We start from the raw sequence: 27,518 nt of genomic DNA, 5'->3' as shown, positions 1-27,518 counted from the left end.
GCATAATATTAACGTACACACATCCTACTCAATTAAAAGTAAACATGGCTTCTAAAAGTATTTTTTGTGCTCTTCAAAATATTAGTAAAATTTATTTTTTTCTTTTCTTTTTTTTTTTTTTTAGGAAGGAAGAGCTACTGTTAACCAGGATACAAGATTAGACAACAGAGTCATTGATCTTAGGGTATGCCTCATTTATTTATTAAGTGAAGCAATTATGCCGCATTAGAGAGGGGCAGGGATACCATACCTGTCTCAGGCTTATAAAGCTAAATGGTATTTGCCTGACTGTAAGTATGATAATACAGGAAACAATTTCCTTTTCTGACTGACCCTTCCCCTAAAAAGAATTGCAGGCAACAGGAGCGGTTAAATACTAGTTAACAGGATATTGACTTTCTTTGTTTTAAAATGACAAATGAATTTGAAGCCAGTAAATGATCTTGCTTCCAGGTGATATCTTTTTTAGACAAGTTATTCAGCAAGTAGAAACATAACCTTTAATATCACTACAAAGTTATGAAAAAAATTACATGCACATTTGAGATCAACCAGGTGGAGATGAGTAATTAATGCTTCAATCCTTTGAATTTGATTGGAGCACCAAATTAAAAATATAGAAGCAGTTGGCTCTGGTGGTTTATGCAGTAGTCTCATGGGTCTTCTGTTTCCCTTTCTGGTTTGGTTGCAAGTGAAAGAGAGTTTAGTGGTTTCATCATTGTTGTAGTAAAACCATTGCATCTTTCTTAATATTTTGACCACATCTTCCTTTTTTACTTAAATATTCTACTCAAGCTCAAATTTTTTGTCACCTTAAGAGTTCTTCTTGGCTATTCTACCATCATGTGAGTCTACCCTTATTATATACTCATGTTATTCCTAATTATTTGCTTTTTGTCTTCTACCTTTTCCATTTTAATTTGTATATGAAAAGCAAGCAGTAATCCAAAGTCCTCTTGATACTACCTAGAAACCTCAGGTTTTTCATGTATGTTGGCCACAGGAGTGAGACATCATTCTTTATTTATTTGCCCTTGCTAGTTGTTCACACAAGTTATTATTGGTTTGTGCCTCTAGAATTTGACCTGAGGAGTTTTTGGGTTTTGGGTTGTATTGTTTTGTTTAAATTCATTGCCACCATTGAAAAATGGGTTTTCACATTAAAATCTGGATGGCACTTCTTAAAAAGAGGAGAATCTGGAACATGAGCTAGCATGCTAGATAGGACATATACAGGATTCTTACACTGTCTTTTGCTTTGCCCTGCACCACCCAGCAAATATCATTCATTTCATTCATTCATGTTATTTGGCCCTTGCAAGCGTTCACATGCTTAACTCTTACTTTGACTTTACATTTTGGGAGATGTTGTGTACATTAGTAACTTTAAGTTTTTAAGCACCTTCGTTTCCTTCTAAACTACTGTCTTGGTTTGGTGCAGTGTCTCACACCTGTAATCCCAACACTTTGGGAGCCTGAGGTGGGAAGAATGCTTGAGCACACGAGTTTAAAACCAGCCTGGGCAACATGGCAAGACCCCTGTCTCCTTAAAAAATTTAAAAATTAGCCAAGTATGATGGCATGCATCTGTGGTCCCAGCTACTCAGGAGGCTGAAGCAGGAGGATTGCTTGAGCCCAGGAGGTTGAGTCTGCAGTGAGCTATGTTTGTACCACTGCACTCCAGTCTGGGCAACAGAGCAAGATCCTGTCTCAACAAATAAAAAATAAACTACTATCTAATTTAGTCCCCAACTAGCTCTTTCATAGACTCTCAGCAAAGTCAAGGGCTAAAGAATTTGGAAATAAAAGGCAAAATTGCCATTCTTCTTCTATAATACAAACGTTCTAAGATATATCCTCCGTCAGGTTCTAGTGTAGCCTGACTTTTTTCTCGTATATGAATGGTTTTCTCTCTGAACTTTACAGGCAGGTGCCCTGATTAAAAATACTTCACCTTCCAGCCCCCAAGAAGGTTAAAGCAATTTTCATTCCTAGAAAAGTGAATTAAAATGTCTTTGGCACCCTTTTCATACATAGCACTCACATAACTCATATTCCAGATTGGCACGGCAAATTAGCTTCATCCTCATAGGTTAGCAGGTTGTTAGGAGGGTTTTCTCAGAATCTATTCAGGAGAGTTCCCTTTAGATCAGAATTGTCCCCTTTATTTCACCTCACTCTTAGGTACAGGTGAAGGTTGTCCTAGGAGTAAATGTTAGTCTTCCCTCTTGAGAATCATTGTTTAAGTACTTTTCCCAAATACAAATGGATTCGTTGGTTCAAAATTAGTCTATTTCTTTTATTTCTTTATCTAGACCCCCTGTACTATAGCTAGTCTACAAAATATTTATTATGTTCGTATTACAGGTTTCTTATACTGTGGAATATGTATTGGTCATCTTCAAAGAACACATCATTTTGTTGGGGAGATAAGACTAGTAGTGTGAGGTCTCCTTAATAGGGATGCCCTCCCTTGGGTTGCCAGGTAAGCATAGAAACTGAGCCATCTTTAAAGGTGAATCATCAGCTCTTTTTTGCCACTTGGTTTCACATGCCAAGGGGATAGACAATTCAGGACTCATGGGCATCCTAACCCTTGAGACCCCATGGCATTCCTAAAGTTCTCTTTGTTTGCTAATACACCACATTATCCTCAATGCTACCTCTGAAATCACACTATCAAATAGCCCCTACTATGTAATTCTGTAACTTTTTTTCCTGAATGTTTAGGTCTATTTTGGCATGCAGGGATTAAGAAAATAGCTATCTGAGCATATATTTTATAGTTCACTAATGAACCCTACTTTGACCCTGTGGGTTAATGAATGAAAAGTATCTGCTATTATGGTGTGGTTTCATCTTATCAATTACATATTTTTGTTTTGAAATTTGTCACCTTTGTCTTCACCATTCTTTTCTCTTGGACAGACTGTTAGCCCCTTAACTCATGTACTTGCCTTGACTTAAGTTACCAGTCTGTCCAAGAGAAAAGAATTACATTCATGGCAAATGCCCCCAGTCAGGCACAACATACCATATACATAATATTCTTGATGAGCTTAAAGTAGCCACACAGCACTCAGGGCAGCCTCCACTAACTGATTGGAAATAAGCCTATTTGCCATATCTCCCTGAAACTTTCTATTAACAAAGCCACAAAACGCTTAAACAAAGAAAAATTAGATAATATCAATAGCCCATCTTCTAACACATTGCCTAGCTCATTACTTTCAATACATATTTTCCAAACTAAAAATTAAAATCTCAACTCTTTAAGAGAAGTTTCGTAATTTTGTAGTATAAGAGATTATCCTGGCAATATAGTTTTAATGCCAATATATTGAAACTTACATGACATTTCAGTGGTTTTGCAGTGTTTTCCCAAGTATGGTACCTTTACCACTGAAGGTACACAGTGATTTCTGGGTGTTAAACAGATGAACATTTTTTATTTTAATAGCTATACAATATAACCAGCAAATAAAATCCATGTTTTCATGGATATTATTGCTTAGAGTTAGTTAAGTTTTAAAATGTGATTTAAAGGAAAATATTAAGTACTAGTACAAGAGATACCCAGTATGACAGAAATGATAGTAGAAGGCAAAAGACAAGTTTAAGAAATGCTGGTTTGTGTCAGCAGTGGGCAGAAAATTGGGGACTCGGGGCTGCCATGAGAATGATAGGTGTTTGATCACCACAGCTATAGGAGTTCTTTGAAAGTAGATCTGGACATTTTGAAATAGTCAAGGGGAGGTGTCCTCAGGGATGTCATAACTGTTGACCTCAAGACCAATGCATCAGTTAGAAAAACATTTTAAGGATGCTCAGCACTGCTATGTATCACAGGGTCCCTCCATAGGACATACATACTTGATCTGCTAGCGTTTTTGTCATACGTTAGAATGAATGAATATGTGTTGGAATGTCTTGACACAGTTAACCTGAACACATACAGCTGGAATCCCCCTGTTGCAGTTGTTATTATATGTAATATAATAGCAATTGCAGACAGCTTGGATTCTTTCTCACAGATATTCCTTTTGTTCAATTAGAAATTCTACATAATTCTGGCCGAGCACAGTGGATCACTTGAGGTCAGGAATTCAAGACCAGCCTGGCCAACATGGTGAAACCCCGTCTTTACTTAAAATACAAAAATTAGCCAGGCGTGGTGGCGGGCACCTGTAATCCCAGCTACTCGGGAGGCAGAGGTTGCAGTGATCCAAGATCACGCCATTGCACTCTAGCCTGGGCGACAAGAAAGAAATTCCATCTCAAAAAAAAAAAAAAAGGAAAAAGAAATTCTGCGTAAATCTGGCCAGGCATGGTGGCTCATGCCTGTAATCCCAGCACTTTGGGAGGCTGAGGCGGGTGGATCACTTGAGGTCAGGAGTTCAAGACCAGCCTGGCCAACATGGCGAAACCCCGTCTCTACTAAAAATACAAAAAAAATTAGCCAGGCTTGGTGGCATGTGCCTGTAGTCCCAGCTACTCAGGAGGCTGAAATCACACCACTGCACTCCAGCCTGGGCAACAGAGTCCTCCATCTCAAAAAACAAAAAAAAAAAGTTCTACATAAATCTGATTTTTTAAAATAATAGTTCCCTTTGGAATTAAATCAGGTATCATTTTAGAAATGTCTTTCCCACTGCCTTTTCTACTATCTCTCCTGACCCCTAGTCCAGCTTCACAGTAGTATCTCTGTAACCTGATAAACCATAAATGAACAGGAATTCTCTACAGCCATTAAAAGCAAAAGATATAGTGGGTATCTTAACTAAGATGATAACTTAAATAGGTATTTTTAAAAGCTACAAGTCTAATACAACATGGAAGTAATTTGTTGTGAGGATTGTAAGGCGCTAAGTACTATTAAAGATTGCTGTATAAAGTTTGGGTTTGTTTGAATTTTTGTCTCCTATCGAAATTCTTTCTCTCAACACCCTTACTTCTCTCCATGTACCTGCCTCTCTTCTCCACAAAAGATATAATTTTGCTTTTTAGTGCTATGAGGACCTCAGGGAAAGGAATTCTATAAATGCAGAATATTGTTTTTCCCTTTATTTCAGATCTTTCACATAATACAGAATAGCAGTGTTTTAATTTTAATAACCATACTTTTGGGAAGTTTGCTATAGAATTTAAAAGTACTATTTTAATATAAGGAATGTCAAGCTTTTTTAGAACTAAAGTTCAAGGACTGGGTTTTTCGTTTTGCTTTTCTAAAATTAATTTTTTTAAGTGTAGAAAAATTAGTTTTCTGCTTTCTGTTTAGTTTATCTTCTACCTCATGCCCTCTGTAATCGCCGTTATCATCTAACACCTAGCCCAGTACTAGGAGGCATATAATAAATATTTGTTTAATGAGTGAGGAGGAAGTATTATTTTTTTTACATATTATGGAATCATTAAAATATTTGTCTGACCCAAAACAATTTTTAGATTTAAACATTAAGGAAACTAATATTATTAGTATGGTTTATAACTTAAATGATAAAGAAGGCCTTTTTCCTGTTCATTTAGGTATCTTAAGGTAAGGGTAAGTATAGTAATGATAAATTAAATATATAAGGTATTTGTACATTCCTTGTCAGTTGAAAATAAGGTTGTTATATATTTGCATTGAAATTAACATATGTTGCATTCATTTTATGTACTATAGTTTAGAAGCATTTAATTTGAGATAGATTTAATATATAATTACCCTATTAAACATACTTTTCTTTTGTTATATACATTCTGTAATCTTACTGATAAGTTGGATCATTGTTGATTTTTACCTTAACCGTCAAATTCTTACACACGTGTAGAAGTCAGTTGTAGTAATCAATATGTAATGGGGAAACAGTTTTAAAATGAGTCTATAAAAAACCGATTTTGTTTCTCTTTAGATGTGTTCTACGCAAGAGTGTCTTGTTTTGATCAGGAGAAGAAAAAATACCATTACCATTTCTTATTTTAACTATATTGTGTTGTTCTCTCATGTAATGATAATGCTTTTTGAAGGAGGAAGAAATGTAGAAAGACAACCCAGCAGTAGGTACAAAAAGTTTCTCAGACTCTGATGCAGTCTGCTTAGTACTCTTCCTCTGCTAAATTAACTGACTAACCTGGGCCTGAGGACATTATTTTCCTCTGAGCAAAGTCAGAGAGTTTACAGGATACTAATCTTACCCGTTTGTCTTGTTCCAACCAGCAGAGATAGCTAGTCTGAATTCGCTCGCACAATGTGATTGTTTGCAGTAATGGGTATTCTTGCTAGTAAGATACATAATCAAAATAGTTGAAGATGTATTTTGAAATATTTGTTTTTCTTTCTTGTTATTTACTTTTAAAGAACATCTTATATTTAGTAATTCCTTTTTGTTTAATTCTTTTCCCATCTACCCCTGTGATTGGTGGTTTTCAAATTAAACCATTTAAAAGCTAGAATCTTCTAGAAAATATTCTCCAGTATGTAAATCCTAGGTGGAAATTAGGATGTATTAGAATTGTCATGTGAATAACTGTTCACTGTCTAATCAAGTAGGTGCCGTCTTCCTATTAGCAAGTGCCTTGAAGAAACTAATGAGAAAAAAATCATTTTTCTTATATATGACAGATCCGTTTTCCCCATAAATGTTACACATTAACATAGTTGTTTGTACAATCAGGAAGTGAAGAAGTACAGTTTTTTAAAAACATAATGGTGAAATTTCTATTCATATTAAATAATCTATGACAACCAGTTCATAAGTTTAATTTCCATTTAGCAAGATGTTGAAGTGAGTTTAGGCCAGGCGTCGTGGCTCACACCTGTAATCCCAGCACTTTGGGAGGCCGTGATGAGCAGATCGCCTGGGGTCAGGGGTTCAAGACCAGCCTGGCCAACATGGTGAAACCCGGTCTCTACTAAAAATACAAAAATTAGCTGGGCATGGTGACGGGCACCTATAATCCTAGCTACTCAGGAAGCTGAGGCAGGAGAATCACTTGAACCCAGGAGGTGGAGGTTGCAGTGAGCCAGGTTTAGTTGAACTAGCTAAGAGGCAAGCGGCAATAAAATGTATTCAGTGACCCTCTTATAGAATATATTCTAAGTGAAATACATCTCTGTACATTTGTCAGTAACAGTGAAACAGCTTTTTGCTAAATAGGTCACTAGGCTTTTGAAAGCAGAAGATTATGCCATTTGTTTTGATTGGATGAACCAGACGTTTCACTAAACCACATAATGTGAAAAAAATGCAAGTCTTTTTCTATAGTTTAAATGTAGACATCTTGAAAATGAGTAAGTAATCTAATAAATTATAAAGACCTTTGAAATGGTTTTATTGTTTTATGAGAAACTATTGATTTGTAACTTTGAATGTAAGTTATAAAATAATGTTACTTAAATATGACCAGTTTACATGAATGTTTTTATCTGATCTGCAGAAATTCAAGATTATTTAAATATCATTCTTTAGAGTGAAAGAAATGTAATCATTCCATTAACAGTGTTTTCACAGGGTACTACTGTGTAAATGCAGAAGGGGTGAGCCCTTTGATATGGGAGAAGTAATTGAAATTCTCGTAATGAGACTAAGAAGACACCTTCTTCACCTAACTCAGTTATTCACAGCTAACTTAGTGGTTTGAGGTCACATGTTTTACTAAACACCTACCTAGTCATAGGATAGCTATTTTTTAAAAATATAATAAGCCAGGACCTAAAGATAAGAAGTCACTTCTTTTGACCAGAGAAGTGGACAAAAGTTAGTCTAAAGTAGAGATAATTACCTCTAGAGCTTTCTGGTCACCATCACAACTGATTGAGGCTAAAAGTAAATAGGAGGACCAGAGAAACTGAGAAAGAAAGGAGGGAAAGAGAGAGAATAGAAAGAACAGGCAACTGTGCTGCACAGTTGGAGCGCTACTATTGTTTTATGTACCACATTGGAAATCAGTGTCATGGGATGCCTACCCCTTTTATTGTATTTTTTTCTTTTTAATTTCTTAATCTAATTGAACAAATACACAAGTATCTGCAATTGTATTGTTGTAATGGTTAAAATAAAAATACATGGTTTTTATTCATTTATTGTCAAATACCAAAATCTTACTTAGAACATTAGTATGCTGCACAAACATTGCTATGTCTCACTTTATGGGTTGGTTGCCTTTAAAAAAAACAGACCATTCACAAGTAAGTTGTTTCACTAATTGTTAAGAAACATTTTTCTTTTATGGAATTCCTACAAATTAAAACATCTGCTCACTAAGGATTTCCGGTGAAATTCCTTTATATGATCATATATAGTCATTGTATTCCAGCATGCCTTTTTGCCTTGTATTTATTCGTGTCCTTTCGTCTTCTCTCCAATTATTAGAATTTAAAAATGTTGAAAGCAAGAATTGTTAGGTTTCCACAGTGCCTAGCCCACAGAGTTAGTGCTTAGTAATTAAGTACGTTGATTTAATTAGATTTTATTACTGTCTTCTAGACATCAACTAGTCAGGCAGTCTTCCGTCTCCAGTCTGGCATCTGCCATCTCTTCCGAGAAACTTTAATTAACAAAGGTTTTGTGGAAATCCAAACTCCTAAAATTATTTCAGGTATGCTTCAAAATATTTCTCTTAATTTTTAAAAATAAATTTGCTCTCCCCAGAGTTGCTTTATATTAATAAAATTTTTAACTTGAGAATCCCAAGTGTCCATTAAGGTTTATTGCCATGAGACTACTATTTTGAAGACCATCTTATATAGCAACAATCATATATCACCAACCTTAATAAGTACATTTTCTTATTCCAGGAGTCCTTTTGTGATAATGATTGTAATGTGAGGCAGTAACACACAAAGCAAGATTCTTGTTACAGAACTTACACCAGGAACTACTTTCATTATATAGATTTCTTTTGAAATTAGTATTGCAGTTTTGTTTTGTATAAACTGCATTGTAAAATCAGTAAATACTAATGATGGGAAAATTTCCTTAATTCTTGTTGCCCAGGCTGGAGTGCAGTGTTGTGAATTCGGCTCACCGAACCTCCACCTCCCAGGTTCAAGCGATTCTCCTGCCTCAGCCTCCCGAGTAGCTGGGATTACAAGCATGCACCACCACGCCGAGCCAATTTTGTATGTTTAGTAGATACAGGGTTTCTCCATGTTGGTCAGGCTGGTCTCGAACTCCCAACCTGAGGTAATCCATCTGCCTCGGCCTGCCAGAGTGCTGGGATTACAGATGTGAGCCACCACGCCTGGCTAATTCTTATTCTTGTATGAGAATCTTGTCTTAATCATTTTACCCTTTTTAGATTTGTTTAACACTAGAAAGTGTGTTACAAATGGCATTTTGTTACAAATTCACAATTGAACATTGCATTCTTAATAATTAGAAAAATGATTATTCCAGGCTGGGCGCAGTGGCTCATGCCTGTAATCCCAGGAGTTTGGGAAGCCGAGGTGGGTGGATCACGAGGTCAGGAGTTCGAGACCAGCCTGGCCAAAATGATGAAACCCCGTCTGTACTAAAAATACAAAAACTAGCCGGGCGCGGTGGTTGACGCCTGTAGTCCCAGCTACTTGGGAGGCTGAGGCAGGAGAATCGCTTGAACCTGGGAGGCGGAGGTTGCAGTGAGCCGAGATCGTGCCACGGCATTCTAGCCTGGGTGACAGAGCAAGACTCCATCTCAAAAAAAGAAAAGAAGAATGATTATTCCAGCTCCTGGGGAAATTTTTTTAAAAGAGGAAAAATGATGAAGAATATATTTTTTCATTTTAAAAAAAAAATTTTAACAACTCCAAAGGGGCTTTAATAGTTTTGAAATTGATGCAGAAAGGGAGCATATATATCCACAGAAGTGAAATAAAAGCATAGCCAAAGAAGTAAATCTGGTTTAAATATAAACTATTTAGAATCACATAGAAGATGATGTATATAGACTGTGATTTAGCCACAATTCTTCATTTTCCAGTTTTTGTTAAAGTGAGTTACCTGAGTATAAACTTTTTAACTAGAGGTTTGCATTGATAAGTTTACAATTGATTATAATAATATAAATATAAATGTTTACCTTTCAGCTGCCAGTGAAGGAGGAGCCAATGTTTTTACTGTGTCATATTTTAAAAATAATGCATACCTGGCTCAGTCCCCACAGCTATATAAGCAAATGTGCATTTGTGCTGATTTTGAGAAGGTTTTCTCTATTGGACCAGGTAAGATTTTGGCAGTTATGTTTTATCCAAGTTAATTAATTATACAGCAGTTATAATTTTAGAAACATTTTACTTATATAATGTACAGACACTTTGAAAGCTTAAATTATTTTATCTGCTGACTACACAAATGCTAGACTTTGAGTTAGAGATAATATATTTGGGTAGACATTTTCTTAAAAGTAATAGTAATAATAATATGGTCAATAGTACTTTAAACAGTTGAGCATCATTCCATGTGAATACAATTATAAACATATGTATTCTTACAGAGGAATGCTGAAGAAAATTTTTATCTTGAGAATATGTCATTTTAAAAATGCGTTTCTTGAAAATATACACCATCTGAAATATACCTAAGTATATATTTTAATATACCTCAGTGCAGTTAGAACAGAATTAGCTCCCATTTGGACTCTTTTCAGCTCCCTATCAGCACTGAAGAGCAGGTAGTTGCAGTGGTCAAAGAAATATATGTTTTTGTCCTTTATAATTTCTTACTCCTGTAAGTTTACAGTGTACCTCTGTCTAATTTGCTATCAATTTTATTCCAGAGCTGTTCTGTTTCACTATTTTGTTTGTATTGTCCTTACTATTGGTAATGTGCTGATGTCCATTAGAAACTACTAACAAATATGTTATATTTAATAAATTATATTAATATGGTTTTTAAGAAATGTTTGCTAAAAGTCAAGCACAGGCACATAATCATGTGGCAAATTCTTTTTTGAAGCTAATTGTAAGTGAAAAGCCAGCGTTACTTTATTTAACACTTACCAAGTTATTTTATATATGTTTTTTGATACCTTAATAAAAATTAAATACTTGCTAATAGAGAAACTGGCAAGATCATTAAGGGTCTTAATTTTCTGAATTTATTAACTAGTTATTTGTTGAACACCTGCTGCTTATATAACCTTGTGCTAGGTACCATGTACATAAAAGAAGAACCAGCCAGCACTTCTCAAATGTTAATATGCACACAGATTACCTGGAGATCTTGTTAAAATACAGATTCTGATCAGTAAATCTGGGGAGAGGTCTGAGATTCTGCAGTTCTCACAAGTCCTGGGTATTGTTGATGCTGCTCATTTCCAGATCATGCTTTGAGTGATAAGGGAATCAATATTGTGCCTGCTCCCAAGACTAAGACATACATACATATCACAGTCATAGGGAATAATCAAATAATTTTCACAATGAATGATCAGATTGTCCTATACCATCAGCAAATGGGTGTTAATTATGTAGTATAAATAGTAACTGTAAAAAGAGAGAAAATGGAGTTTGCTAGAGTCACCATAAAAGAAAATTCAAACTGAGATGTACTTTAAGGACAAAGTAGGATATATAGACAACAGAGATGGAGTTCTAGACAGGAAGCAGAGTAAGTAAAGAGCAAGAACTACACAAGAAAACAAAAATAAGACAAGTTAGTATTAAGAAGTGAGAAATATAGGTTAGGATTAACTTACGAAAGCATAAAGGTTTTAGGGTTTTTTTGGTCATTTTATGTCTTACTACAGTAGTCATTTGGGAACCATTGTAAGTTTCTGAGCAAGGATGTATTATAGGAATATTAGTGATGTGAAAGATGAGTCGAACTAGAGTCAAAAAGACTGGACAGGAGGAAAAGGCACTGAGGATATTAAGGCTGGACTGGATATTAGCTGGACTGAGCTAATGGCTCTTAATATCCTCAGTGCCTTTTCCTCCTGTCCAGTCTTCCTGACTCTAGCTCGACTCATCTTTCACATCACAAATATTCCTATAAATGACTACTGTAGTCAAATGGAATACGTATGTTACTTTATTGGTAGAGTTTCACTTAGTTTGAGTCAGGTTTTAATAAAATTGAGAAGAACTCACTATCTTGGTCATAATTGAATATATTTTTAAATATTGAGAAGACACCTCAGGATCTTGCATTCCCCCAGGGTTCTCATGAACCTCTCTTATTAATTTACATTTGGTACGGCTTTTATTGCACGACCGTAGGAGTTTATAATGAACTTGCTGTCCAAGATAATGCTCAAACAGATGGTTCATCAGAGGTCCTTCCAGCCCTGTAATATGAAAATAATACCACTGGAATCCAACTAAATAAAAGTTTGTATTTAAATCCCTATTTATCCAAAATTGAAATCAGTGTTTGCTCTCTATTTCTTTTATTAACTTCACAGTATTCAGAGCGGAAGACTCTAATACCCATAGACATCTAACTGAGTTTGTTGGTTTGGACATTGAAATGGCTTTTAATTACCATTACCACGAAGTTATGGAAGAAATTGCTGACACCATGGTACAAATATTCAAAGGACTTCAAGAAAGGTAAAAAGTATTTTATGCACCTAGATGGACTTAATTTCAAATGTTTGGGCCCTTTAAAAAAAAAATTCTTCAATTTAAACATACAAACTTAAGTTTCTATGAACATATATATAAAGATTTACCAGTTAGATGATCCATTTAATTGGTTGGAAAAATCTACACTCAGAATACTGCTTCTGGATCCAAATCATTTGGGGGCTCAACTAATTAACCTCTATTGTGCTAGTAAATTTACCACATTGTGAACAGTCCAACTGTATTTTGTTGTTGTTTTTGTTTCCTTTATACTGACATCCCGAATGTCTCAAGAAATACAGCATGTGTTTCTTTTAACAGTTTATTTGGGAAACAGTATGAGGGTAGTGTGTAAGAGGTTGGATTCAGCAACATCCAGATAGCCTGAGTTCAAATCCCAGCTCTGCTCCTTCTCTGTGTGGGCCTTGTGCAGGTTATTTAATTCTGTGCCTCAGTTTCCTCAGCCATTAAGTGGAAATAGCATTATTACCCACCTCAGAGGCAAAAAGTTCCTTCAGTCAACTGAATCTGTCGACATGTAAATTAAGCCTGGTCAAATATGGTTAATTCTTAAATCAATTTATATTTACATTAAGTGCTCAGTAAAGATTAGAAACTAGTAGACTGAACGGATATTTAAATCTATTTGGATCTGATGAATTAACATTTATAGAAATATTAGATGTGTTCTAGATGTTCAGAAAATTGAATCATGTAGAATGTGCACTTCACCTACACCCTCTAAACTGGCAAAGAGCTCTTCCCTTTACAGGTCATTGAAAGTTGTTTATTTATGATGATGTTTAACATAGAGAAAATAGGAAAAGAAAATAGAACCGAGTCAAGTTGATTAAGAAAGTCTCTATTTTTCCCTCTTTCTGTATTTGTGACTATATTTCAAGTATTAGGTAAGCTATAATAGTCTAAGCTAGCATTTTAATAAGTGACAGAAGATCATATTTAAAATTTTTATTTGAAGACCAGCAATTCAACTATTCCTTGTTGATGTATTTGATATGTTTCATTGGTATTTTAAAAGAGTTCAAAAATACGAATTTTATTTACTGCATTGCAGGGCTAATGAGTATGTTTAAGAATGTAGAAATTGGCCTGGCAAGGTGGCTCACGCCTGTAATCCCAGCACTTTGGGAGGCTGAGGCAGGCGGATCACTTGAGGTCAGAAGTTCAAGACCGACCCGGCCAACTTAGCAAAACCCCATCTCTACTAAAAATACAAAAATTAGCTGGGCATGGTGGCACGCTCCTGTAATCCCAGCTACTTGGGAGGCTGAGGCAGGGGAATCACTTGAACCTAGGAGGCGGAGGTTGCAGTGAGCTGGATCACGCCACTGCACTCCAGCCTGGGCAACAGAGCAAGACTCTGTCTCAAAGAAAAAATAGAATGTAGAAATCAATCACTGATCTTAAGAATACTGTAGCATAAGTGCCAGTATTTCCAGGCATTCTCTGCAGCTTTGTACCTTTGATAGCTAGTTAATTGCAGACAGCCTTTTTCTTTTTATATCTTTGTTCTCTAAAACATTTTGATGCAGTTTATTTTAATCAGTTTTCAATGGTTCATGGAACAACTGATAACATTTTCCTTATAAGACAAAATATACTTTAGAACTACAATGAAGGAGCACACACAGCTTTTCTCATTTTCTGTTCGCATTTATAATCCAAGAAAGTTTCAGAAACTCATTTTTTAAAAATACTGATAGCTTCTCCATTAAATAATAGAGTTTGACATTTCCACTTTGATTTTTATAACAACAGACCAAGCATGAATTTGAGTCCTTGGGATTAATCAAATCTCTACTTACAAATTAGACTCAAACGCCATTACTGCTGAACTTTTTCAGTAGAGTTAAGGTGGCAATTTGAAAATAAAAACCTTCTTTGTATGTTCTTCAAGTCATTTAGGAATTTTAAGTTTTGGTGTCAGGGCTTGTTTATTGGGTTATCTGACCTGTGTCATGTTCCTCTCGTGTTTATCATTAGTATTTACCTCTCATAGAAAAATACATATACAAATGTATTTGTATTCTATTGTATGTATATGTATTGTATATATATCCAAATATATATGTGTATAAAATACATATATAAATGTATTTTAAAGTATTGATAGTCATATTTTTGTACTACCATTGATAGACATGATGAATGGGAGTTGATATATAAAGCAAAGAAAAGCTATTTAAAAATCATTTGGGAGCTGGGCTCAGTGGCTCATGCCTGTAATCCCAGCACTTTGGGAGGCTGAGGTGGGCAGATCAGGAGATCAGGAGTTTGAGACCAGACTGGCCAGCATGGTGAAACCCCATCTCTACTAAAAGTACAAAAAATTAGCCAGGCATGGTGGCACACGCTTGTAGTCCCAGCTACTTGGGAGGCTGAGGCAGGAGAATTGCTTGAACCCAGCAGGCAGAGGTTGCAGAGAGCCGAGACAGCTCCACTGCACTCCAGCCTGGGCAACAGAGCAAGACTCCGTCTAAAAAAATAAAAAACAAATTTAAAAAAATCAATTATGGGGTCTTTTTAACCCTTCTTACATCAAGATTTTAATAAATCAATGGCTAAGCTTTATTATTCCCACGAAAGCCTGTAAGACCAATCAAGAAATGATAGTGTTTTAATTTCGAGAATATAAATTCTAGGCCGGGCATGGTGCACATCTGTAATCCTAACACTTTGGGAGGCCGAGACGGGCAGATTGCTTGAGCCTAGGAGTTCAAGACCAGCCTGGGCAACATGGTGAAATCCCATCTCTGCAAAAAGTAACAAAAAATTAGCCGGTCATAGTGGCACATACCTGTAGTCCCAGCTACTCAGGAGGCTTCAGGTGGGAGGATCGATTAAGCCCAGAAGGCCGAGGTTGTGGTGAGCCAAGATTGCACCACTGCGCTCCAGCCTGAGCAACAGAGTGGGACCCTGTCTCAGAAATTAAAAAAAATAAAAATAGAATGTAAATTCTAGGTAAAGAATTCTATATATAAAATACAAACATACTTTTTTCTGTATATAGAATATAAACATACTTTTTTCAAGTCTGTTAATTATGGAAAAATTTCAAACACATACAAAAGGATGTGCAATAGTCTAATGAGCCCCCATGAACTCATCAACCAGTTTCAGTCCTTGTCAACCTGTGGCCAATTGTGTTTACCCATTTCCCTCATTCACTATTATTTTGAAGCAAATCCCAGCCATCATTTAATACATAAATACTCCAGCAAAAATAGACATTTTTTTCTTTTTCTTTTTCTTTTTTTTGAGACGAGTCTTGCTCTGTCGCCCAGGCTGGAGGGCAATGGCCGATCTTGGCTCGCTGCAGCCTTCACCTCTCAGGCCCAAACAATTCTCCTGCCTCAGCCTCCCGACCACACCCAAATAATTTTTGTAGTTTTAGTAGAGATGGGGTTTCACCATGTTGGCCAGACTGGTCTTAAACTCCCGACCTCAAGTGATCCTCCTCCCAAAGTGCTGGGATTACAGGTGTGAGCCACTGCACCCGGTCAAAAATAGACCTTTTAAATCTCAATAAAATATCATCTTCCATAGCAGAAATTCAGCTCAGTGCAGTAAACATTGTCCTGTACCTTCTATATATATAGGGTAGGCATTGTACTATAGAGATTATCAAAATGGGAAAGAAACTGGCACTCCCCTGAACATACAGTGTAATACTGATGGGGGAAGATAAGACAAATACTCATTAATTTGGTCTTCCTCAGTGATAACAAGAATTGTTAAAGGATTAAAAAGTCAGATTTTTGTAATGCTTCATAAAATGGGCATTTTATATTTCTAACCATATTAACTGATATGAATTATAAAGAAAATTTTTAATCCTTTGATGTTACTGTGGTTACAAAAACGAGATTGAAAAATGGTGTTAAATATTTTAAGTATTTAAATTTCATTCTTTAATAATTTGATAATGCTTTTCCTGGTGTATATACTGATTCAAAGATTGATTTTTGTATATTGCCACAGTGACCTCTTGTGGGGGAAACATTTATCTCATACATTTTATTAACTAAATCATTCTGCAAATAGGTTTCAGACTGAAATTCAAACAGTGAATAAACAGTTCCCATGTGAGCCATTCAAATTTTTGGAGCCAACTCTAAGACTAGAATATTGTGAAGCATTGGCTATGCTTAGGGAAGCTGGAGTCGAAATGGGAGATGAAGACGATCTGAGGTTTGTCTTTGTGGCTTTTTTTTTACTTTAAGTTCCAGGATCCATGTGCAGAACGTGCAGGTTTGTTACATAGGTATACATGTGCCATGGTGGTTTGCTGCACCTATTGACCCGTCCTCCAAGTTGTCTTTGTGATTTTTAAAACCTTGGTAATTTGGTTTAAGATAAGAAAAAATGAAAATATTAATAAATGATTTTTTTCACCTGATACACTTACATTTTATTAACTTTGGTATACAGTATGATGCTCTTTTATATAATGTGTGATCTGAAATAAAAGTGTTTACTATAGTTTGCCTAAGTTTTCATAATTTTGTTTATAAACACCATTTTCCATTATTTTCCCCTCATGTTTGTAACTCTTTAAAGAGTATAGAGAGTTTTGCCTGTGATTTTATCTTCTAATATGTTACTTCTCTTTCCAGATTAGTGGTATTAGAGAAGGTAGACAGCAGTCTAAATCCATCCCCACACAGGATCGGGGTATAAACTGTTAACATCCAAAAGTTATAAAAGTCAATATTGTTTATATAGTGTCATACATACTATATTATATATAGTATTTAGTATAGTATTATCTAAATTTAGATCATACGACTTATAATTTTGAAACAAATTATGTAGTTTAATAAAGATTGAGGCTGGGCATGGTGGCTCATGCCTGTAATCCCAGTACTTTGAGAAGCCAAGGTAGGAGGATCATATGAGCCAGGATTTCGGGACCAGCCTGGACAACACAGAGAGATGCTGTCTGTACAAAAAAATTTAAAATTTAGCTGAACATGGTGGCACACACCTGTAGTCCCAACTACTCCAGAGGCTGAGGCAATTGGATCACTTGTGCCCAGGAGTATCAAGGCTGTAGTAACCCATGATCATGCCACTGTACTCCAGCCTGGGTGACAGAGTGAAAGCCTGTCTGTAAAAAATAAATAAACAAAACATGTAAAGGTAATTTCTATCTACTTATATTTTATTCAAGACTTCCTTGAATGATTCCTTTAAACCATCACAATACATGTGTATTTAGGAGGGAAAGGAAATGATTATTGTCACTTTTTAGGGTTTCTCAAAAAACAATTCACCCAAAACCCTTTATTTTTGTTTAACAAAAAAAAATATATATATATGGCTTTAAATATTGCCTACATTGCTAGATGACATTTTAAGGCAAGATGAAAATCCTATAAGCTTAGGTAGTATTTTTTTAAGTATTTTAGAAATTGTTTTTACATAAGATAGAAGCTGAAGTAGCTACCTCTTGGCCATAGAAATGTAACGTGTTTATATAAACACTTTTAAAACCTTGGATAATACTAATTTTTATTTCATAAACCATTGATAAAGAGTACCAAAAAGGGAAGATTATTTCATGGCAAGACTAGCCCATATTAGTATAGCGAACTTTTATTATGTGTAATTGTAGGAAATTACTTCATCCATGATATTTCTGAATCAATGAATTGCTATATTCTGTTTATTGCTTTAATTAAATATTTGAGCAGCATCTACTAAGCACTGAGTCACTGTACCAAGGTATACTCATAAGTGATTTTCAGTAGTACTTGCCTTTTAAGAAAAGAGCAGAATAGACAACTGCGTGTTCTGGCCAAATTTTGTAATCCCTTGAGAAACTCAAATAGAAGAAGTTCCTTATTAATGTTTTTAAGTTGCCATTTGATCTTCAAACACTGATTTCACGTTTCTTTTTCAGCACACCAAATGAAAAGCTGTTGGGTCATTTGGTAAAGGAAAAGGTAGGACTCTTTATATGCTGGATTTCTTTTTCTAATTCTGAAATGTCTCTTGGGACTAAAAACAATTGCAGAGGGGTCTGAGCTTCCTAGAATGGTATGATTCTGGAATAAATAAAAACCGAAGAAGGACAACATTAAAAAAATTTTTTTCTTAGAAAATTGAGAAATATTCAGACAGCCTGCCTTTCTCCCAGATGATCTGATTAACTCAGTATTTAATATTTTTACGAAGTTGTTCTGAGGTGTCTCTAAAAGTGATACCTATGTCGGATTAGTTGGAAATGACCTCCAAGTTATTTGAAAATTATTTAGAAATGGTCTTCCCTGTGTACCCCTGCTGTCTCATGAGACTTCAAGATGAATGAGGTTCCTCTCTCCCTCTTATGTAATAGCTACTTTCCAATCTCATTTTCTAAAACCAAGACTCCAAAGAGGATAAAAGCTAAACTTAGTATGATCTTTTTAAAATTTTTAAGATAATGATATAATGAAAAGGAAAATTAGTCCTTGAGCTCCTCCTACTGGTGGCAGTTGAAACTGTTAGACTAGAGAACTGATATTTCTGAAGTCATACAATATTCAGTTTATACCTTTAAAATGCTGTTTCAGCAGAGCCAGTTTCAGTTTGTCAGCTATTAACATCCTCATCTCAAGTTTTATCAAAAATGTTGAAAGTCAAAAACTGTTGGAATGTAATTTTTTTTTTTTTTGAGACGGAGTTTCGCTCTTGTTGCCCAGGCTGGAGTGCAATGGCACTATCTTGGCTGACTACAACCTCCACCCCCTGGGTTCAAGCGATTCTCCTGCCTCAGCCTCCCGAGTAGCTGGGATTACAGGCGCCCACCACCACACCCAACTAATTTTTTGTGTTTTTAGTAGAGATAGGGTTTCACCATGTAGGCCAGGCTGGTCTCGAACTCCTGACCTCAGGTGATTCACCTACCTTGGCCTCCCAAAGTGCTGGGATTACAGGCATGAGCCACCGCGCCGGGCCCTCAAATGTAATTTATTTATTTTTAATTAAATCTAGGTCACATAGTAAGCATTCTCTAAAAAAAGTCATAATTTCAAGTTAATGTCATTTATTTCTTTCAGTTGTAGCATTCATTTGAAGAAAACTACCAAAATCTCATGTATATATCTAGATAAAAATTTAAATTCTTGGGAAGATAATCCATGTTTTTCAATGATGGATATTGTAAAATACATCAAATTTCCCAAAATAATTCATGGACTTAATATAGTTTCTATAACAATCAAAAGGATTTGAGATAATTTTTTTCATTATAAAATGCATCAGAATGACTAGATGAACTAGAATAACAAAGAAAAAAGTAAAAATCAAAGATGTTTATCAAAGTGTAATTTAGAATGGGGGAGAAATTAGAAAGGGCTTACATGTTCAAAAAAAAAAAAAGGAAAAAAATGAATATTTAAACCGTAGGCCTGGCACTGTGGCTCATGCTTGTAATTCTGGCACTTTGGGAGGCCAAGGTAGGAGGATCATTTGAGGCCAGGAGTTCAAGACCAGCCTGGGCAAACATAGCGAGATTCCATCTCTACAAAAAATTTTAAAAATTAGCCAGGCTCCTGCTTAAGCCATGATCTCATCATGCACTCGAGCCTAAGCAACAGAGCAAGACCCCATCTCTTAAAAAAAAAAAATTTAAAAACTATGGATAATAAGTAATGCCTAAAAATTAGGTATTGCAAGAATTTATGACACCATGGCAAAATGCTGTAGGATAAAAATGTTACTGAAAAAAGCAAGATATTCATTGTATATACAATATAATTAGAGTAATTACGAAGAACCAAAATTTTTGTATAAAGTTAATTACCAAAATGTTAGCCATTTTACTTTTTAAAAATGTATTTTAATTGCATTTATTCTTTTTATAGTATGATACAGATTTTTATATTCTTGATAAATATCCATTGGCTGTAAGACCTTTCTATACCATGCCTGACCCAAGAAATCCCGTAAGTAATTTGGTTTTAAGTAACCCATTTTGAGGCAGAAGGGAAATTTTATTGTCACTGTCAGATTGTATAATAGGAATAATGGTTTTCATTAATAATTTGCAGTTTTGATAGACATACGTATTACCATTGATGTCTGTCACCACTGGTCAAAATGATATTGTAAAATTTGAATATTCTAGAAAATTAGTTTTAAAAACCTATGTTAAAATCATTTTACTTGGTCATTTTTCTGAAGATTTATGAGAGAGAAAGACTATGTAAATTATAAATAGTACTACTAGATTTGCATACTTTAGTAAATCATCCTGTCATTGACCTTAAACTGGGAATTCACATTGTATCCTGGGAGTTAATAATCTAAATAATGTCTTACGGTCTTTTACCGTTTTTCCATTGCAGTGGTTTCTAAACTTTACCATGCATCAGAATCACCTGGAGGGCTTTTTAAAACACCAGTTGCTGAGGCAGAATTTCTCATTAGTTGCTGTGGAATGGGAGCCTGATAATTTGCAGGCCCCACTCCAGACCAAGTAAAAAATTTCTGGTAATACTGAAGCTACTGGTCCAGGAATCACACTTTGGGAACCACTGGTTTATTGAAAGACAGGGGATTAAAGTAAAAATAATAATAATTTAAAGACTCACACCTGTTAATAACTTGGAGTTCCAAAAGTCACCCCAAAATAATATCATTCTTAAAAACATCTCAGATGATAAAGTGAAATAAGGATCAGCACTGCTTCTTAAAAATTAGATGTGATGCTCTGATTTGTTATTGGGGGGTGTGGGAGGAGAGCACAGAATCTGATATAAACAAAGAAAAAGTTATTCAGCCCTCAGTAGTTTAATTCTACTTTAGAGAACAAGATTGCATTGTTAATTGTAGGAAAAAATGAACTTGCTCTTCATGCAGCAGAGATTTTTTTCCGTATATATGTAATAGAAATAGGATGGTAGTCACTTGAGGACTGGTGTTTTTTCTCTTGCAGAAACAGTCCAACTCTTACGATATGTTCATGAGAGGAGAAGAAATATTGTCAGGAGCTCAAAGAATACATGATCCTCAACTGCTAACAGAGAGAGCTTTACATCATGGAATTGGTAAACAACTTAAAATAATTTAGGGGAGTGTATATTCTGAAAATAATACATTGTAAACATTTAAAAGACTTCTCAGTCTTTTTAAAAATCTCCATTGAACAGTAATTGCTTTTGTGACCTTTTAAGATAAATAAGATGATAAATTATATTTTGTTTTGTGTCTTTTTGCAGATTTGGAGAAAATTAAGGCTTACATTGATTCCTTCCGCTTTGGAGCCCCTCCTCATGCTGGTGGAGGCATTGGTAATATTCTGTTATTGCTTACAAATAAGTTCATAAGTTCTAAGTATAATACAAATTTGAATTACAAGAATTTTTAAAAGTGAATTACGACATAAGTGAAAATTTGATTTCCAAGAAACAAAATAAACAGCTAACTTGTGTGTTATAAAATATTATTGTCATAAAGTTCTAGCCATTTTTTTTCTCTTAAGAATTTAGAAGCCAAATGTCTTGTAAGTGGAGTATCCTGTTTTCTCTCTGCTGCTGTGAGTTCATTCGCATTAGCACAAATTAAAGCTCTACCTTAAAATAGCTCAAAGAGCTGCTAAGTGTTTTTATTGAGATGCAGCACTTGATTCACTTTAAGATCACTTCTACAGTATATGTAAGGGACTGCTCTGCAATTTAAAATGAGCAAATATTTAACTCATCTTTGGATGTCCATATCAAACACTCTTAAAAAATTTTTTGAATGTATAGTTTCATTGAAGTTTTTATTTGTTGTTTGTTTTGGGGTTTTTTGGAAAATACAAAATGTACTTACAAAATTTTCAAATTAAAATTGGTCGAGAGACAGTTTTTTCAACAGATGGTACAGAAAAAACTAATGTCCATTTGCAGAAGATTGAAATTAGACCCTTACCTAACATCATATACAAAAATTAACTCAAAATGGATCAAAGGCCTAAATGTAAAACCTACATATAAATGGCCAATAGGTATATGAAAAAATGCTCAACATCACTAAACATTAGGGAAATATAAATTAAAACCTCAATGAGATAACCATCTCACACCTCTGGCTGTTAGTAAAAAGGTAATGGATAATTGTTGGTAAGGATGTGGAGAAAAGGGAATCCTTGTTTGTAAATAGTTGATGGGAATGTAAAATTGGTACAGCCATTATGAAAAACAGGATGGAGATTCTTCTAAACATTACAAAGAGAATTACCATATGATTCAGAAATTCCATTTCTGGTCTTACATACCAAGGGAAATGAAATCAGCATGTTGAAGAGATTTGTGCACTCTGATGTTCAATGCAGCATTATTTACAATAGCCAAGATATAGAAATGACCTTAGTGTCCATCAGTGGATGAATGGATAAAGAAAGTATAGATTGAGTATCCCTTATCCAAAATGCTTGGGACCAGAAGTGTGTCTGATTTTGGATTTTTTTCATTTGTTATCATATTTGCATTGTGCTTACTGGTTGAACATGCCAAATCTAGAAATCTGAAGTGCTCCAATGAGCATTTTTTGGTTTTTTTGTTTATGTTTTTGAGTATCATGTTGGCACTCAAAAAGTCTCAGATTTTGGAGCATTTTGGATTTTCATATTAGGAATACTCAAACCTATTTTATCTATACAATGAAATAACACTCTGCCTTACAAAAGAAGGAAATCCTGTCATTTGTAGCAATGTAGATGAACATAGAGGACATCATGCTAAACAAATTAGCACATCAGGCACAGAAAGACAAATACTGTGTGATCTCACATATATATGGTACCTTTTAAAAGTTGAACCCATAGACAAAGAGTAGAATGGTTGTTGGAATGGGGAGAAGATGGTCAAAGGGTATAAAGATTGACTTAGGATGATTAAGTTCTGGAGATCCATTGTTCCACATTGAAAATTGCTAAAAGAGTAGATTTTAAATGTTCTTTCCACAAAAAATATAGGTATGCAAGATGATAGATATGTTAATTAGCTTGATTTAATCATTTCACAGTGTATCAGAGTGTCACATCATACACTGTAAATACATACAATTTTTGTCAATTATAACTCAATAAAGCTGGGCAAAATTTTAAAAATAAATAGCACCAGTTAAGGTCGTTACATATGGTTTTTTATTTTTTGTTTTTTTAAGTTCTGGGATACATGTGCAGGATGTGCAGGTTTGTTACATAGGTAAACATGTGCCATGGGGGCTTGCTGCATCTGTCAACCCATCACCTAGGTATGAAGCCCTGCATGCATTGCTCTTTTTCCTAATGCTGTCCCCCACCCCACCCTCCCGACAGGCCCCAGTGTGTATTGTTCCCCTCCCTGTGTCCATGTGTTCTCATTGTTCAGCTCCCACTTATAAGTGAGAACATGTGGTGTTTGGTTTTCTGTTCCTGCATTAGTTTGCTGAGGATAATGGCTTCCAGCTTCATCCATGTCCCTGCAAAGGACATGATCTCACTCCTTTTTATGGCTGCATAGTATTCCGTGGTATATATGTACTACGTTTACTTTATCCAGTCTATCATTGATGGGCATTTGGGTTGATCCCATGTCTTTGCTATTGTGAATAGTGCTGCAATGAACATACACGTGCATGTATCTTTATTACTCAGAATCCACAAGGAACTTAAACAAATTTACAAGAAAAAAGCAAAACAAACAACCCCATTAAAAAGTGGGCAAAGGACATGAACAGACACTTCTCAAAAGAAGACATTTATGAGCCAACAAATATATGAAGAAAAGCTCAACATCACTGATCATTAGAGAAATGCAAATCAAAACCACAATGAGATACCATCTCACGCCAGTCAGAATGGCAATTGTTAAAAAGTCGAGAAACAACAGATGCTGACAAGGTTGCAGAGAAATAGGAATGCTTTTACACTGTTGGTGGGAATTTTAAATTAATTCAACCATTGTGGAAGACAGTATGGCGATTCCTCACAGATTGAGAACCAGAAATACCATTTGACCCCGCAGTCCCATTCCTTTGGATATAAACATGATTTTTTTTAAGAGTTATAGAGATGAATGGCAGTGATGATTGCACAATGCTGTGAGTGTATTTGGCACTACTAAACTGGACACTTAAAAATGGTTCAGATGGTAGATTTTTTATGTATTTTAACGCTGTTTTTTAAATTGGAGGAGGAAAAAGAATAGTGCGTATTCGCCTCCCTACAGGAAAGCATTGTTTCTAGTTTTCAGCTTAACCTTTGCAAAGATACCTTTTCATATACGAAAAGACACACACATTTCTTTAAATATTTTTACACAAATTGTAGCATACTATTATATATAAACCATTTAGTACTTTGCATTTTTTACTTAATGTATCATTTTTTTAATATGAGTCCGGATGGAGAAGAAATACTTTAATGTATCTTGTAACTTGTTTCCTATCAATACCTGAAGAGCTTTTTCATTCTTTTTACATCTCTACATAGAATCAATTGAAAGGAGAGACCATAATCTTGTTAACCACCTTCCAAAAATCAGTTTCTTCTTTACAGTCAAAACACTTAGTATAATAATGTACTCCAGAGCTTTTTATCGTAGGGTCCACCATGTTAAATGTCTATAAAATTAACAGTAAATTTTCTCATACTTCTATTATTGCTTAAGCAAGTTTATGGCTCTCATCCTCATTGCCTGGACTGTATAATCAGAGTGTGGTATCATTTGAAACGTTCAAGCTTATAAAGTCTTTTGTTTTGTTTTTCTTATTGTTACATCATAGATTTTGTTCATTCGTATAGATTTTTGTGGTTCACATTTTAGACTCCATACCACTCAAGGATATATTACTTAGTCCTTTTCATTTATAGCAGCATCTTTATTTCTGAATCAATACTCAAAACAGTTTTAAATAAACCCAAAATAATAAGAGTCATTTTCTTTCCTAACAAGGAAAAGTATTTAGTTTAACGATTACATTTATGTTTGTAGTTCTAAGTAAGACCCTGAGAGATTTTCAAAAAGGAATTAATGATTATTTTTGTCTTCCCCAGGATTGGAACGAGTTACTATGCTGTTTCTGGGATTGCATAATGTTCGTCAGACCTCCATGTTCCCTCGTGATCCCAAACGACTCACTCCTTAAATTCACACTTTGCCACTTAACTCCAGTGTGGATGACAGAGCGAGACCCTGCCTCAAAAAAAAAAAAAAAAAAAGAAAGCCACACTTATTCTTTTCAGTAACCTGCTAGTGCACAGGCTGTACTTTAGGTACTTAAAATATGCACTAGAATAAATTTGCAAGGCCCTAAAATATCACTGTTATTTTTGGAGTAATTCAGTATAGGTTCGTTTAAAAGAGATTTTTATAACTTCAGACATGCATCAGTAGGAAATAACTTGAGAAATTCATATGGTTATGTTACAAATTCATATTCTGTTACTACAGTAAACGTTAAGAGTTTTAAACAGTTAAGATTGTACAATTTTTCTTCTTTTCTATATTACAAGGGCCCCAGTGTTAATGTCTTAGATTTTCAGTATTTGAACTTATTTTTTTAAATTCTGTCATTGAGATAAGAATAATTCAGGTAGCATCTGAAATTTTAATGAATGTATAATTGGCATATCATGGAAAATTAACCAGAAAGTATCAGTTCTTAAAAGTTATGCCTAGAAATTATGTAAAGCTAAACTACTGGTTAGAAAGTATTCAGTGTAATATTGTATTAATTTGTTAAATTCTAAACTTGAATTTCAATAAAATTTTAAAGCTAATTGTAGTTTTTGTGTAACTTTGTGGCCAACTGATTTTGTAAGTGGTGCTAGGCATTCATAATTTGGTAAAAGAAAAAATACACAACTAGTTTATATAAATAAAGACTAATATGTTGTCAACATGTATTCATTTCAGGATATTAGTTTAGATGGGCGTAGGGATAGAGCTCTTAAAGTTGACAGCTTGGGTCGGTTGACAGAGTTCATTTCACATGGGTTAAAATATATTGCAGAATTTTGTTTGATTTTTAACTGGAATGGTACTGATACTTAGTGAATGTCAGTAAAATCCAGTCCCATCTTATCCGTCAAAAAGAAATTTTTGTGTAAGAATTAGTTAGAAACACTTTCCCTCTAGATTATTACAAATGTTGATGCTAATGTTAATTTTACATGACCACAAATATTGGGGAGGAACAAAACATAACATATTTTTGTACAGGAAGAAAAAATTACATGCAGAAAAATATGAGGGTCAAAAAGTTAGGAAGTTACCCCTGGACCACGAACATCTGCCCATTATGTTTGAAAGTTAAAGGGGGTGTTTACCATCTATATTGTACAGTCTTTGAAAGTTTAGATTCAGTTCTTATTTTTTTCTTTCATATCCTACCAGAATACCTTAAATATAGAAGGCACCCCAAAAGTATTTCATAATTTAATCCACAGCAAGAATAAAATATCCATCTTCTATAGTGTGTAATTGCTAGACCCTAAAATAGTACAATAATATTGGCCCTAGAGCTGTTCTTAATTTCATGTAATTATAGCTTGTTTCAAAATAAAGTTTGTAAAGTCTTAGAATGATGTAATCTTTTTTATTGTGAAGGTTTTCAAACATGCTGACCAAATTAGAACATGATAAAATACACTTGTACCTATTATCCAGTCTTATCAAATCTTTATCATATTTGCTTCAAATATTTTTTTTTATTTTTATGTATTTGTTTTGAGACCAGGTTATGAGACTGGCTAATTTTTGTATTTTGGTAGAGGTAAGATTTCTCCATGTTGCCCAGTCTGGTCTTGAACTTCTGGCCTCAAGCGATCCACCTGCCTTCACCTCCTAAAGTGCTGGGATTACAGGTGTGAGCCGCTGCACCTGACCTCTTATTTATTTATTTTTTTGAGACAAGTCTTGCTCTGTGGCCTAGGCTGGAGTGCAGTGGCATGATCTCAGCTCACTGCAACCTCCACCTCCCCGGTTCAAGCGATTCTCCTCAGCCTCCCAAG

At 34.9% G+C, this 27,518-nt stretch overlaps 1 protein-coding gene and 1 long non-coding RNA gene across 3 annotated transcripts in view; both read left to right on the top strand.

Moving 5' to 3' along the window:
• The window catches only part of DARS1 (aspartyl-tRNA synthetase 1), a 79,804-nt gene extending 52,718 nt beyond the window's left edge, over positions 1-27,086 (top strand). For both annotated transcript variants that reach the window (NM_001293312.1, NM_001349.4), the window contains 10 exons: positions 125-184; positions 8,469-8,580; positions 10,049-10,183; positions 12,367-12,514; positions 16,595-16,741; positions 18,456-18,498; positions 20,401-20,481; positions 21,474-21,585; positions 21,757-21,828; positions 25,560-27,086. In NM_001293312.1, the coding sequence (NP_001280241.1) occupies positions 125-184; positions 8,469-8,580; positions 10,049-10,183; positions 12,367-12,514; positions 16,595-16,741; positions 18,456-18,498; positions 20,401-20,481; positions 21,474-21,585; positions 21,757-21,828; positions 25,560-25,651 (1,002 nt within the window). In that variant the 3' untranslated portion in view covers positions 25,652-27,086. The remainder of the gene's footprint in view (positions 1-124; positions 185-8,468; positions 8,581-10,048; positions 10,184-12,366; positions 12,515-16,594; positions 16,742-18,455; positions 18,499-20,400; positions 20,482-21,473; positions 21,586-21,756; positions 21,829-25,559) is intronic.
• LOC124906078 (uncharacterized) lies at positions 189-7,854 on the top strand. Its single transcript, XR_007087246.1, has 2 exons — positions 189-2,485; positions 7,140-7,854. It is a non-coding gene; the product is annotated as an uncharacterized LOC124906078 (long non-coding RNA).

Source organism: Homo sapiens, chromosome 2 (genome assembly GCF_000001405.40).
Source record: "Homo sapiens chromosome 2, GRCh38.p14 Primary Assembly".
NCBI lineage: Eukaryota > Metazoa > Chordata > Mammalia > Primates > Hominidae > Homo > Homo sapiens.
This window is presented reverse-complemented; position numbering and strand designations above follow the sequence as displayed.